Here is a 15616-nt window from a genome sequence, read left to right on the forward strand (position 1 = left end):
GAATCCTTAATTTTTCACAGACTATATACTGATCTAGTATATAGTCTACACTATATGTTTGTACTATATTATACAACTTTATACTATACTTAACATGTTTGCTTTTTACATAATTCCCCCATATTGCTGACATAATCTATTATTCATAATTCGGACTCCTTGGCATTTTACTTACTTATCTTTATACATAAGGGACACACATAATTTTATTTTTAAAATGTTAGTTAAGCTTTTAAAAAGTCTCAGAAAAACATGAAAAATCTCTATAATTCAATAATGTATTTATTCAGTATCTACTAGGGAGGATTTAATCGATAAATGTTAAAAGAAAATGTTTCACCATAGAATAGATACCAAAATTATATGATAATGAATTATCTAATTATTATGCAAACATTTTATTAGGTATATAGGTTTTATTATTTTCTTGTAATTCTCAATACTTGAATTTTACAAGTGTCACTGGCAAATGTTGACTAATGACAAAAATGTCAAATACTTGTCTCTGTGATGAAGCAATCATGTTGCTACAGATATTGTATAGAGACACAGCCCAGATGTGGTGGCTCACACCTGTAATCCCTGCACTTTGGGAAGCTGAGGATCTCTTGAGCCCAGGAGTTTGAGACTGCAGTGAGTTAGGATTGTGCACTGCACTCTACCCTGGGCCACAGAGTGAGATCTTGTTTAAAATAAATAAATGAAGGAAGGAAGGAAGGAGGAAGCAAGGAGGGAGAGAGGGAAGGAAGAAAGAAGGGAGGAAGGAAGAAGCAGAAATAATGTTATAATACTACAGACGAAGGTATATGAAATCAGGATGGTAATGACAGTTGCAAAATAGGTGAAAGCATTTGCTCTTCCTGCCAGAGCAAGATGGCTGGGGGGCCTTAGACAGTGAGTAATCAAAATTGGAAGCAGAAACTATGGCTTCCTAGTTGCTAGTAGCTAGGGTAATGAGTTAGAGAGTTAGGATTAATGATACAGGATTTGTATTTCTCACTAGTCAGGATCCAAAGAACTTTAGAATCATTAATTGAGAGTGGGAAGTGTAACCAGGTCTCAGAAGAAATTCTATTTAATTGTTTAAGTTATAGACCTATACTGAGTGCAAAGTTCCATAGTGGTGATGACACAGAGTGGACTAGAATCCCAGAGCAGTCATTATTTGAATGGTTTGTGCAATTGACATATGCCTCAGTTTTTGTTTTTGTTTTTTAACCAATAAGCATGGAAAAAAAAAACCTCCTATGTTAGTTTCTTATTTTTCATATATAGAAAGTCATATGGAATACTCCTGCTATATGGTAAGTACTCCACAAATTACAGTTACTAGGCTACAGATAAAGAAATGGTCTAATTTTGAAATAAGCTTATGATCTTTTGGAAAGTAAGTACCTTATATTATGGGAATTGGGTATGTGAATAATCGGGGCTCAATATGAAATTTTGAAGTTCTACCATTCTGAATTGGAAAATTGAAGCAAGTGTTGATCTGAAATCTAAAATGTCATGTGCACTGAGATCAGGATACACGTATTCAGAGAGCAGAATGAATTCAATCTCAAGGCAGAGGGAGTTAACTTCTGTGGCCTATTTATATTTCTGAAGGAGTCTTCCAGGCTGAAGGTCAGGGCAAAAAGTATAGTCATTTCTTGGAGTGCAAAATCCCTGTGATGCAGACACTGTTCTATTTGTTGTTGTCATTGTTGTTACTGTTGTTGATATTTGGCTATAACATAAGAGGAAAAGTGTGCTTATAGAGATATTTTCTTTTCTATTCTGTGAATATCATAAAAAGTAAGGTTAGTAAATGTTATAAATGAATTCTGTCAGAAAACACTTTATAAAAGGAAAAATCTCACACGCCATCCATTCAACAATATTTAAAGCCCACTTAGTATTTACAAGGAACTCTACTAATCAATGAAAATTAACGTGATCAGGCTAAAGCTTTTGAGGGGACCAGGAAAAAACCAAGTCATAACTAGAGAAAGCACCTTGGGGAAGTTTGGCTATAGAAATACAAAGGCATAGCATCTAAGTCAAATGAGGCGAAAGGAAGTCAAGAGAACATGAACCAGGAAGGGAACTCTCCTCCTAGGAGGTGGCACTTGAGAAGAGATAACAAAGAAAGCATTGGTTGCACAATTCTAATGTCAATAAGCAAAATATTCATTGATTATCTACTGCCCGTCTTAGAATAGCACAAAGGGCCTTTTCAGGCTTGTCTTATTTTGCTTAAATTTTGAGGTTGTGATGAAGTTGAAGAAGGGAGGATGGACTTGGAGAAAAACCTCCAAGTTATAACTTCTCAAAGGCAGTAATTAGAGAGTATCTCCTCTTTGTCTCTGATTCAGGACTCAGCTAAGGCCCAGCAAATGGGAAACTTCCTTTTTAAAAAAAGCCAGTGTAGTGCTGGCAGTCATTAAAGATTTGCTGAATTACTGACCTCTTATCGCCCACATGCCCTGGGGAATCTGTTAGCAGTCCACCACCTCTTGTCACTAATCAAGATGCCTTTATGTTAACACCTCCCTTTTAAAAGCAAATCAGTCAGGAAACTTAAGTAGATTAACACTTAATCATTAATTACCTCATGGGATAACCAAACAAATTTCTTTTCTGTTTAGGCTATCTCTGATCTTCTGCCCCAGGATATATTTTTCAGGCATTGAAGGACTGATGTGAGTTACTCTGGTAGTCCTGGCACTTAGGGTCTTGGTGAATCTGCTTGGGGAAAGGAATGAAGGCATGGAAACAGGACAGAAAGGTGAAGCTAGAGCAGAGAAAAAGCACTGAAAAGAAACTTCAACTGATTTTTAGTTTCACCTAGGGTATTTCTAGGAGTTAGAACCTCCATCCAAGAATGCCTGAGCTAATGTAAATTAAGATCTGACTTTATGTCTTGGTTCTACCCATCAATCATAATCACTCGGTTATTAACAGAGTATTTGCCAAAGGCCAATGGCACTTCGTGACCAAACAAGAAGAAAAGGAAATATGAAAGTTCTTAATATATAACTTTTCTTGTGGGTTTACATTTTCTTTTTTTTTTTAGTTCTGAATCAGGTAATTGATTCAGTTTTTCATGTTTGCACAGTTTATTTAACTATGTTAACTAAATGGTCTGAACAGAATAGTTGCTACCATGGCTTAAGTTACTGGTTCAGTGTCTATGGCAATGCATTAAATCAAGTTTCTGCTCCCAGTTTTATAAAAAGGAAAATTGACTAGATGAGAACATTGCCACCTTATTCATTATGTATAGCTCATTAGTTCCCTTGTCAACTTTCCTTTGCTTTTAATCAATTGAAAGAAAAAGTCTTCATGGATTTTTAGTAGGAAACATATGGAGCTGTAAATCATCAGTAATGTGTGAACTTATATTTACAGGTGCAACTGACCTTGACTGTGCATCCTTCCCAACTTACTTCTTATAAATCCTGTAATCAATAAGTGAAATAGTATTCCATACCCTTCATAATTCACCTTCCAATGTCTGTTTTTCCACACATCATCTAAGCTTCTATAAAACATTCTTTTCCTCTGTAATGGACTCCAATCCTGTTTATAAGTTTTATAAATAAGAGCTTAACATTTCTTCTCAATACTTAGAAATGACGATAAAAGAATTAGTTGACAAGATTGGTATCTTAAGAATTTCAACTCCACTTAAATATCTAAGTGGATGCTGCATTTTTTCAAAGAGTTACCCTGAGTGGCAATATATTCATTCCAAGAGTGTTGCCTTTGCACATAGATCATTGCAGCTATCCCTTTCAAATAGCATTTAGAATCTATTTTCAGATTTAAAAAATAGTCTAACATTAGTTTTAAAAAATAACCAAAGGTATTTAATGCACACCACTACATATTATTTCTTTCTATATACATTTGTGAATTTATTGGGAAGAGTAAACAGTTGGAGATGTGTCAATGCTGGGTTTGAGGTTGGATGAGATTTTATATTATTAAGTGGAGATTATTACATTAGAATGAGACTAGAACCAATCTATCTTGGGCCTTTATACTTCTTTTTTCTCCCTCAGGTTTGAGGTATCAGGACACATTTAGGGCCCTGTTACCTTTTAAACATAATATGGGCTCAAGTAAAATGAACTATTATTTTCAAAATATATTAACGCATTACAGGATGTTAGCCAAGTAAATTTTTATACATATTTATTTTACTTTAAGTGAATATTTAAAATACATTTTCAGTTTGTTTCTTAGGATAAGTGAGAAAAATATCAAATATTTGAGAGAAAAAAAGATTTTTAAAAAGAGCGAGAGTTACTCATAAAAAATGAGTAAATTCGGCCAGGCGCGGTGGCTCACGCCTGTAATCCCAGCACTGTGGGAGGCTGAGGCGGGTGGATCACGAGGTCAGGAGATCGATACCATCCTGGCTAACATGGTGAAACCCCATCTCTACTAAAAACACAAAAAATTAGGCGGGCGTGGTGGCGGGCACCTGTAGTCCCAGCTACTCGGGAGGCTGAGGCAGGAGAATGATGTGAACCCGGGAGGCGGAGCTTGCAGTGAGCCGAGATCGCACCACTGCACTCCAGTTTGGGTGACAGAGCGAGATTCCGTCTCAAAAAAAAAAAGAAAGAAAGAAATTACATTTAATAAAACTGATTCCTTCAACTTTAAATACATATACTTTTTAAGATAAGGTCTCCTTCTGTTGCGCATGGTGAAGTATAGTGAGTATAGCTCACTGCAGCCTTGAACTCCTGGGCTAAAGGGATCCTCCCACTTGAGCCCCCTGAGTAGCTTGGACTACAGGTCACCATGCCTGGCTAATTTAATTTTTTGTGTATAGAGATGGGGATCTTGCTATATTGTCCAGGCTAGTCTCAAACTGCTACCCTCAAATGATCCACCTATCTTGGCCTCCCAAAGCCTGGGGATTACAGCCATAAGCTACCTCGCCCAGCCAAGATTTTGTTTCTATTTTGGGTGCACCCTTTATAAGAGATCAAGTACACCATTAACATGTTATGTGTATTACTTGGAAAATGAAATGGAAACATTATCCATTCAATCACTAATTCTCTCAAGAAGACATGCCTATATTCCCAGGGGCTAAATTATATATTTTTTCTAACTGCATTCCTAACTCCCCAGCTTTCTCCAGATCCTGATATGTCTCCTCCCTGTTCTATTCATTTCCATTGTGTTGAAAACCATACTCTGCAAGGCGCAGTGTGTCTGACTGAAGTATATTATGCACGCGAGCTTTCCAAAAGCTGAAAAAAATATTGAGAACCAATGAATAAAACCATAGGTATCTAAAAGACATTGAATAATAATAAGAGATATACAATAGAATTTAAGAATTCATTAATAAAAAGTATAACTGGAGTTTTTCTAAAATAATGGACTCTTAAACCAGTAAAATATATATCTAATTTAAAATGGTTTCTTTTAAATTATAATAAAACATATACATGTAGGCACATCTTATTAAACAATGGACAAATGTAGAACTAAATTTCATTTCCACTTAAAAAGGCACAGGCAGGTTTCAAATGGTTCTGCATATAAACTTGCTGACATGAATAATTTTAAATCAGGCCAGTTATAGCTTTCATTCTTTGAACTGAATTCAAAACTCTCTTACTTTTACATTATTAGAGAGATGAATCAAATGTTTCTATAATGCCTACTTTCATTCAATCCACACCCAATTTTAGAGGACTGCTGTCACAATGCCAAAAAAACATAGACTGAAGTTTTAATAATGTTTCTTATATGATAAAGAAATTCTAGGGTAATTTTATAGCACAGTATAAGTGCTGAACTTGTGTTATACCTTTCAAATAACAGTAACCACCTCTAATTTCTTAAAGGGCTCTTTAAAAAAATGCATGGTATGTCCATCATAGAGCAAGAAATGCCTCTTTTTATAATATATTCAAAATGGAGGTGGTTATGTTTCCTTTTACACTGGTATTGCAATTCATTTTCTGTTAGTAAGCAAGAATATTGACCAACTGTATTACACTCTGTTCTCACACTGCTATAAAGAAATACCCAAGACTGGGTAATTTATCAAGGGAAGAGATTTAATGGACTCACAGTTCCACATGGCTGGGGAGGCCTCAGGAAACTTACAACCATGGTGGAAAGGGAAGACGCACATCTTACATGGTGGCAGGAGAGAGATAACAAGCAAGAGCAAGGAAAACTGCCTTATAAAACCACCAGATGTCATGACAACTCTCTCATTATCACAAGAACAGCATGGGAGAAACCACCCCCATGATACAATCACTGCCCACTTGGTCCCTCCCTCTACACATGGGGATTATGGGGATTACAATTTGCAGTGAGATTTGGTTGGGGACACAGAGCCAAACCATATCACCAACATAATATAAAATCACTTTGAAAGGACCTCAAAATACATCCTAAAATTTGTTTCAAAGATGAAAAATATAACTTAAAATACCATGACTTCTGAATCAGGGTAGTTTGCAAGGTGATTATCTTCACAATTAGAACCAAAATGCTTAATAATACTATTTTAGTTTGTGTAAAACTTTAAAGAGTATTCATGCTCTTCATCTCCCTATTTCTATCTTTTTTAAAGAAAAGCAGTCAATTAGTTAAATAATCACTAATGCAGTTTTATATGATAATAAATAATGACACCAACTTGGATTGTCTTAACAAATCTGAACAGTGACTTTTCTTTTGAGAATTGAAAGCATCCCTAGAAACAAATTTGCCTGTATGTTTAATGACTCATACATTCCAAATACATCCAGGAGACAATCAACAGTTTATCTGATGTATGATATATAAAACAAATTATTTAAGTGAACTTCATTTATCTTAGTCTATACGATATAATCATAATGCTATTTATAATGAGCTCAAATAGCAACAAGAAAATATTGGAGAAGTTAATATTGAAGAAATAAAATTAATCAAGCTGTCCTACTATTCAATTTCTGAATATTCAGATACAGTAAATGTTAGTTAATACATGAACAAGTAATTATCAAGAAAATAATCCGATTTACAATAACTAACAAAAAAATCTTATGGATGAGTTTAACCAAGGAGGTGAAAGATTACTACACTGAGAGATCAATACACTAAAACACTGAAAAACATTGATAAAAAAACTGAAGAAGACACAAATAAATGGAAAGATATTTTGTGCTCATGAATTAGAACCCTTAATATTGTTAAAATGTCCATACTATTCAAAACAATCTACAGATTCCATTCAATCCCTATCAAAATATCAATGAAATTCTTCACAGAAATAGAAAAAAATACTCTAAAATTCATATGGAACCACAAAACACCCCAAATAGCAAAGCAATCTTGAGCAAAAAGAACAGATCTGGAGGCATCACACCACCTGATTTCAAAATACACTACAAAGCTAATAGTAACTAAAACAGCATGGTACTGGCATTAAAACAGACACACAGGCCAACAGAACAGAATAGAGAAGATATAAATAAATTCATGCACTTATAGCCAACTTATTTTCAACAAAGGTGCCAAGTATACACGTGAAGAAAGGACAGTCTTTCAATAATTGGTGCTGGGAAAACTAGATAGTCACCTGCAGAAGAATGAAGCTAGACCTCTATCTCTCACCATGTACAAAATCAATTCAAAATTGATTAAAGGCTGAAATGTAAGATCTGAAATGATAAAACTACTGGAAGGAAACCTAGGAGAAATGCTTCATGACATTGGTCTGGGCAAGGATTTTTTTGGATAAGACCACAAAAGCACAAGCAAGAAGAGCAAAAATAGCAAAATGGAATTACATCTAATGTAAATGCTCCTGTACACCAAAGGAAACACTCTAAAGAGTGAAAATAGAACTTACAGAATGGGAGAAAATATTTGAAAACTATGCATCTGACAAGAGGTAATATACAGAATATATCAGGAACTCAACTCAATAGCAAAAACCCAATTAATCCAATTTAAAAATATGCAAAACACCTGAGTAGATATTTCTCAAAAGAAGATAAACAAATGGCAATGGGTATATGAAAAAATGCTCATTATCACTAATAATCAGGGAAAAGCAAATCAAAACCACAATGAGATATCACCTCACTCTGATTAGAATGACTGTTATCACAAAGACAAAAAATAACAAATGCTGGCAGATGTGGGGAAAGGGAATTCTTATACACTGGTGGAAATGTAATTAGTATTAGCTATTATGGAAAACAGTATGTAGGTTCCTCAAAAAATTAAAAATGGAACAACCATAAAATCCAGCAGTTGCACTATGGAGTATAAATCCAAAGAAAATTAGGTTGGTATGTTGAAGAGATAGCTGCACTCTCATGTTTATTGAAGCTCTATTCATAATAGCCATGATATGGATTCAACCTAAGTATCTACCAATGGATGAATGGATAAAGGAAATTTGGTGTACACACACACACACACACACACACACACACACACACACACATAATGGAGTACTACTGAGCCCTAAAAAAGCATGAAATCATGTCATTTGTGGCAACATGGATGACACTTGAGGACATTATGATAGGTGAAATAAGCAAGACAAAGAAAGACAAAGGCCTTCCTTATTATCTCACTTACCTGTAGAATCTACAGGAGTTGATCTCATAGAACTAAAGAGCAGAATAGTGGCTCCCAGATCTGGAACGTGTACAAGAGGAAGGATGGGGAGAAACTGAGTCAGCAGGTACAAAGTCACAGTTAGATAGGAAGAATAGGTTCTGGTGTTCTATTGCACAGTAGAATGACAATGGTTAACAGTATTGTATATTTTAAATAGCTGGAAAAGAGGATTTTGAATGTTCTCGCCACAAAAAAAAATGATAAATGTGCGAAGTTATGGATATGCTAAATGCCCTGATCTGATTTTCGCACAATGTATACATGTATCACAACATCACACTATATACCCCATAAATATATTTATTATTATGTGTCTCTTAAAAACAAAATTTCAAAAATGGTAATCTTGTTATACTAAGGTTTCTGAAAATGCAAAGAGAAATGTGATATATATATGTTACTCCTTTAAACTTAAAGAGTAAAAAATTAAAATCAATGTATCCTAAATACTAAAAAAAAATTAGAATGTTGAGCTAAGACGACAAGATGAAAAAGAGTAGTACTTTTAGTGCAGGAGTAAATTTCAGAATTTTAGAGATTGTATTTTTAAAGGTAAATCACTACCTGTCCTGTTAAGAGGAAGCTAAGACAGATACTGTGGTTCTCACCTGTAATCTCAGCACTTTGAGAGGCCAAGGCAAGTGGATGGCTTGAGCCCAGGAGCTTGAGACCAGCCTAGGCAACATAGGGACATGCCATCTCTACCAAGAAATACAAATTAAAAATTTAGCCAGGCCTGGTGGCATGCATCTGGGGTGCTACCACCCAGCTACTCCGGAGACTGAGGCAGGAGGATTGCTTAAGCCAGGGAGATCGAGCTGCAGTGAGCCATAATCATGCCACTGCGCTCCAGCCTGGGTGACAGAGCAAGAAACTGTCTCAAATTAAAAAGGTGCGGGAAGATAAGTTTGTGTTTATACCTTTGTAAATATAATTCTGAAACTGTAGCGTATTTTTGACAAGTGCTTTGCTTTTGTTATCAAATAATGCTGGCAGTGGAATGAGGCTCACGACATTATTATCAATAAACACATAAAGAAAATAAAAGGCTATACCTATTTTTCTTTCTAATGTTCTCAAGAGTAGGCCAAAAATATAACAAGCAAGATACTAGAGGTTTAGTTAATCTGATTGTATTGTTTTCATATAGATCTCTAGATTTCTGCAATTGGATGTGTTTAACATGAAACCTTGATATATGATTTCACTACCAACAACAACAAAAAATCAGTTGGGATTATGATTTCTAATGGTGTGGAAACCCTGTTTTATAAAAATAAGACACATTAGCTACTTAAAGTTCATCTGAACCTGAACTGTAATTATTTCAGAGAAGTCCTGAAATCATTTTGGTCCTGATTTAGAGGTCTTCTTTGTCTTTTCAATTTAAAGCAATTTTCATGTATAGATTTTTACCACATTTCCACCTTTTATAAAACCCTAAAGAATATCAGTCACTAAACCTACTGTAGTAACTGATCTGATATTCATTTAAGCTAAAACTTTAAGCTAAAAGAAAATAATTAAATTTGTTTGACCTAAAAAGAATGTCCTTGCATTTTGTAGTCTCCATTAAAAAAAAAAACACTCCAGTAATCTTTCGAATCTTTTTTCAGCCAACAGCTCTGTAACATCTTGCCTCTATACATGATACTGCCTTTTTAGCCAATTCCAACCTAGAGCAATGAGTAACCATGGCTCCATCCAATTTTCCACATGACATCTGTGGCAGTAGAAGTATTAACAGGACTTCTCTCCTGGAGAGCTTTGCCTTAGGAAGAGCTTAAATTTCTGTAAGAAAGTCACTGACACAGGAATTCAGTCAGGACTCTGCACTAGGACTAGAAGCTGCCAGGGTTCAGATGCTGACAAGGCAATGTTTCTTATCTCTGAGATTTCGTGCCCTTCCCCCATGAAGCTATGCTCCTCCAGTCTGGCAGGGAACTCGCCTATGGACAAGAGGGTGACAGACATCTTTTGATGATGAGCATCCACAGGCACAGGGAACAGAATCTTGCTATTCATTGAGCTGCACAGCTGTGGCAACTGGATTCTGCCCGGGTGTCAACAATGGGGGCAGGGCTTCAGTTTAGGCAAAAGGGAAACAGCTTGAGTATAAATGAACTGCTTTTAGGCTCTTTGAATTTATCTTCCCCAGATGCCCTGAGATTTCAGATCCACTCTTTATTTTACTAAAACTTCATAGCTGTGAAGTGACCATCTTCTCTGAAGGCTCACATGGAAAAAAAACAAACATGTTTCTACATGGTAAAAGGCATGTTTGCATATTTACATATGAATATATTGATGGATCCTTGGCATTAATGATTCTACAACTGTATGTTCTTATTAAACTCTGGGTTCAGCATAAAATAGTATCTTACTGATTTATCTTCAGTGCTATTGTATGGTCTGCTTGGCTGCAGGTTGTATAAGATGACAAAGCATTGATTTAGTGAATTTTTTCACAGTTTTGTGAACAAAAAGCTTGCATATTTAATAAGTAAGTTATTCAAATCTTGAAGAAATACAGGCACGTTCTCCAGGCATTTTTAGAAAGAAGAGAAAGAGAATCTATAGCAGGTGGATATTTCCAACTAGGCAAAACGAAAAGCACACAAAGAGTTAACTCAACTGTATAAATGAATATGCTAATGAATGCATAATTTATCTCTGAAGAAACATATTTATTGTTTCACTATTTGATTAGATGGCTTCAATGTTCAATTAATCAGTTACCTTTCAATATCATTCCTGAGAGCTGCTTAATTAATCTGTTGCACTACCACCCTATTCATCCTATTAGCAATCCCTCGTCCCATTTCAAATGACAAAATCCAGGAACTGTGCCACGTAAAGACTTTATGTCAATGTCAAGTGAAGGTTGATAAGTGGCTGGCTTTTTTTCTTTATTAGGTTAATCAAACCAATCAGCTTTATAGGATTTACATTTGTCAGAAAATGTTAATGAGTTGAAACTAATGAGAAATAGAGGGGGAAAACCACCAAGAGAATGGTGGCACAGTTTATACACTTCAACAGCAATATACTACTTTCATTAAATAGATTGTTTTATCCTCGTTTTCTAAATGATGGATTTAAAATGTCCTGCTAATTAAACTCAAACTCGTCTATTGTGTTCTATATTGCATCTCTTACTAACAAAGGAAGCACAATAGATACACATTCATATGTGTCTTTGAATCAAAAAGTGTGCTGTATGTTTACTACTTTCTGGGCACTGTTTCTTCCATAATGTTATTAATAATAGTTCTAATAATAGTTCCATGAAAACTTACCAGTTTGAAGGTGCTATGTACATAGTATAGAGTAGATTTCAAGAAATGGTTGAGATACCCCAAGACTTAAATCATGGGTTGAGTTCTTTCCTCATCTGTTTCATTTAAGCTTGAAATATCTCTCTTCTACTTCTCTTTTCTTCCTTTTCTCTTACTATTGTCTGATACTCCGGATAATTCCTCAGCATTACTCCCTTTGCTCTCCAGAGCAGGGACGTTTTGATAGAAGTTGCAGCACAAATCTCATACCACCTCCTTTACCTTCTCAATGTCCTAGGCCAACTTTCATTTTCACCCACTACCTCACATACACACACTCCTTAGCATTCTCAGAGGGATTTAATACACTTTGAATCAATCATCTGTTACCTTAAATAACTTCCAAAGCAAAATACATATCAAACCATAAGGTGTTGTTTCTTTAATTGTATGGGTGCCATAAGTCTCTTTGAGAAAACTAATGATAATAATAGTAATATTTGTCATATACTTGAGTACTTTTAATTTGCCATGCACAACTTTAAATTCTTTTTTTCTATATGTCTCAGACAGAATAGATGGAGTGTGCAAGGATAGATGGTGAATATGTATTTTGGTAAATTTGTAGAGAAAACGAAGAAAACATATAATTCACTAAATAATGATAATATCCAATGTCTGTTGGGGGCAAAGAGCCTAGAATGGACAAAAGTAGTATGTAAATTTAGAAGGGTGGGAGATCAGATTTAAGGCATCCTGAGGTCAAGGTATATTTGGAGAAAAAAAATACTATTTAAACTTCGTTCAGAAGAATGACGTAGAGTTTTAATTAATCAATTCCAAACATGTAGAGGGAGAATTAGGATGGGGAAGAGAAAAAGTACACCCAAAGGAGGTAGGAAGGGTGAGTGTAAAACAGGAAAGGCAGAATGAATAGAAAGGATAAATAGAAATAAGAGAGTGGAAATAAATCCAAAGAAGTAAGTAAACAAAATAAAGGAAAAAAAAATCTGAGCATGGTGGTGCAACCCTGTAATTTCAGCTACTTGGAAGGCTAAGGTGGGAGGATTGCTGTAGCTAAGGAGTTCAAGACCAGCCTGGACAATATATCAAGACCCCATCTTGAAAGAAAAATAAAGCAAGGAAGCAAGAAGAAAGGAAGGAAAGGAAGGAAAGAAGGAAAGGAAGGAAATGAAGGAAGGGAGAGAGGGAGGAAAGGAGGGAGGGATAAAGATGAAGAGATAAGAAAAAAAGAAAAGAAAGCAAGAAAGAGAAAGAAGGAAAATGGAATAAGCTGTCCTGTTAAAGCACAAAGACCCTCAGACCGCATAGAAACAAACTCCAGCTATGTCATTTCTACAAGAGACTAATTAAATAAAACACAAGAACATGAAAAGTTTGAATGTCAAGCCTAGAAAGAATATGTCAGGAAAATATTAACAAAAAGAAAGCAGGTCTACAAAACAAAACAGACTTTGAGGGAAAATAAAAGCATTAAAAAAGATAAAGAGAGTCAATAAATAATGCTAAGAGGTTCAATTTGTTAGGAACATAACAATTGAAAACTTTATTTACTGAATAGTACAGCTTCAAAATATATAAACAAAACTGGTTTGATCTATGAAGAGGCATTAATAAATCCTTCACTATTTTAATACAGCTTTCTTGGTTATTGGCAGATCAAGTATAAAACCATATTGGCAAGGATAATTGAGATTTGAACAGCATAATTTAAAAGCTTTTAGGACACTGCGTTGGTTTGCCACCTTCCCCAAGTCCCAAATTCACCCCATATACACTCCCATCACTCTTGTCCTGACTTTTTCATTGGCTTATCTCAGGGTAGTCCTTGATTTGGGTCTGCACTGCAAGTTGTATTATCTGCCTCTGGTTTGTGGCTTTACTCATATTCTCAATTTTACCTTCACAGTTTCTTAAGCAAGATTTCTCCCTTCCAGTATCTTAGTGAAATAATTTTTTTTCATTTTTTGGTTTTTTTTTCTTCCAAAAAAAAGGATACATGTGCAGAATGTGCAGGTTTGTTACATAGGTATACATGTGCCATGGTGGTTTGCTGCACTTATTGACCCATCCTCTAAGTTCCTCCCCTCACTCCCACCTCCCAACAGGCCCTAGTATGTGTTTTTCCCCTCTCTGTGTCCATGTGTTCTCATTGTTCAACTCCCACTTATGAGTGAGAGTCGAACATGCAGTATTTGGTTTTCTGTTCCTGTGTTACTTTCCTGAGGATGATGGCTTCCAGCTTCATCCATGTCCCTGCAAAGGACATAATCTCATTCCTTTTTATGGCTGGATAGTCTTCCATGATGTATATGTGCCATATTTTCATTATCCAGTCTATCTATTGATGGGCATTTGTGTTGGTTTTGTGTCTTTATGATTGTAAATAGCGCTGCAGTAAACATACTTGTGCATGTGTCTTTATAAGAGAATGATTTATATTCCTTTGGGTATATACCCAGTAATGGGATTGCTGGGTCAAATGAAATTTCTGGTTCTAGATCCTTGAGGAATTGCCATACTGTCTTCCACAATGGCTGAACTAGTTTACATTCCCACCAACAGTATAAAAGCATTCCTGTTTCTCCACAGCCTCACCAATATCCACTGTTTCCTGACTTTAATAATTGCCATTCTGACTGGTGTAAGATGGTATCTCACTGTGGTTTTGATTTGCATTTCTCTAATGACAAGTGATGATGAGCTTTTTTTCATATGTTTGTTGGCTGCATAAATGTCTTCTTTTGAGAAGTGTCTGTTCATACCCTTTGCCCGCTTTTTGATGGGGTTGTTTGTTTTTTCTTGTAAATTTGTTTAAGTTCCTTGCAGATTCTGGATATTAGACCTTTGTCAGGTGGGTAGATTTCAAAAATGTTCTCCCATTCTGTAGGTTGCCTGTTCACTCTGATGATAGTTTCTTTTGCTGTGCAGAAGCTCTTTAGTTTAATTAGATCCCATTTGTCAATTTTGGCTTTTGTTGCAATTACTTTTAGCATTTTTGTCATGAAGTCTTTGCCTATGCCTACATCCTGAATGGTATTGCCTAGGTTTTCTTCCAGGGTTATTATAATTTTGGGTTTTACATTTAAGTCTTTAATCCATCTTGAGTTGATTTCTGTATAAGGTATAAGGAAGGGTTCCAGTTTCAGTTTTCTGCATATGGCTAGCCGGTTTTCCCAGCACCGTTTATCCAATAGGAGATCCTTTCCCCATTGCTTGTTTTTGTCAGGCTTGTTGAAGATTAGATGGTTGTAGATGTGTGGTGTTATTTCTAAGGTCTCCATTCTGCTGCATTGGTCCCAATGTCTGTGGTGTTACCAGTACCATCCTGTTTTGGTTACTGGAGCCTTGTAGTATAGTTTGAAGTCAGGTAGAGTGATGCCTCCAGCTTTGTTCTTTTTGTTTAGGATTGTCTTGGCTATATGGGGTCTTTTTTGATTCCATATGAAATTTAAAATAGTTTTTTCTAATTCTGTGAAGAATGTCAATGGTAGTTTGATGGGAATAGCACTGAATCTATAAATTACTTTGGGCAGTGGCCATTTTCATGATACTGATTCTTCCTATCCATGAGGATGGAATGATTTTCTGTTTGTTTGCATCCTCTCTTATTTCCTTGAGCAGTGGTTTGTAGTTCTCCTTGAAGAGATCCTTCACATCCCATGTTA

General features: G+C 35.5%; 1 protein-coding gene and 1 long non-coding RNA gene across 5 annotated transcripts in view; both read left to right on the top strand.

Annotated features, from left to right (window-relative positions):
• ALCAM (activated leukocyte cell adhesion molecule) overlaps window positions 1-15616 on the top strand; it is a 209992-nt gene that overhangs the window by 71273 nt on the left and 123103 nt on the right. The window lies entirely within an intron of this gene.
• On the top strand, window positions 702-13093 carry LOC124906263 (uncharacterized). The gene is made up of 2 exons (XR_007095989.1): window positions 702-1304; window positions 2631-13093. It is a non-coding gene; the product is annotated as an uncharacterized LOC124906263 (long non-coding RNA).

This window comes from Homo sapiens, chromosome 3 (genome assembly GCF_000001405.40).
Source record: "Homo sapiens chromosome 3, GRCh38.p14 Primary Assembly".
Classification (NCBI taxonomy): Eukaryota; Metazoa; Chordata; class Mammalia; order Primates; family Hominidae; genus Homo; species Homo sapiens.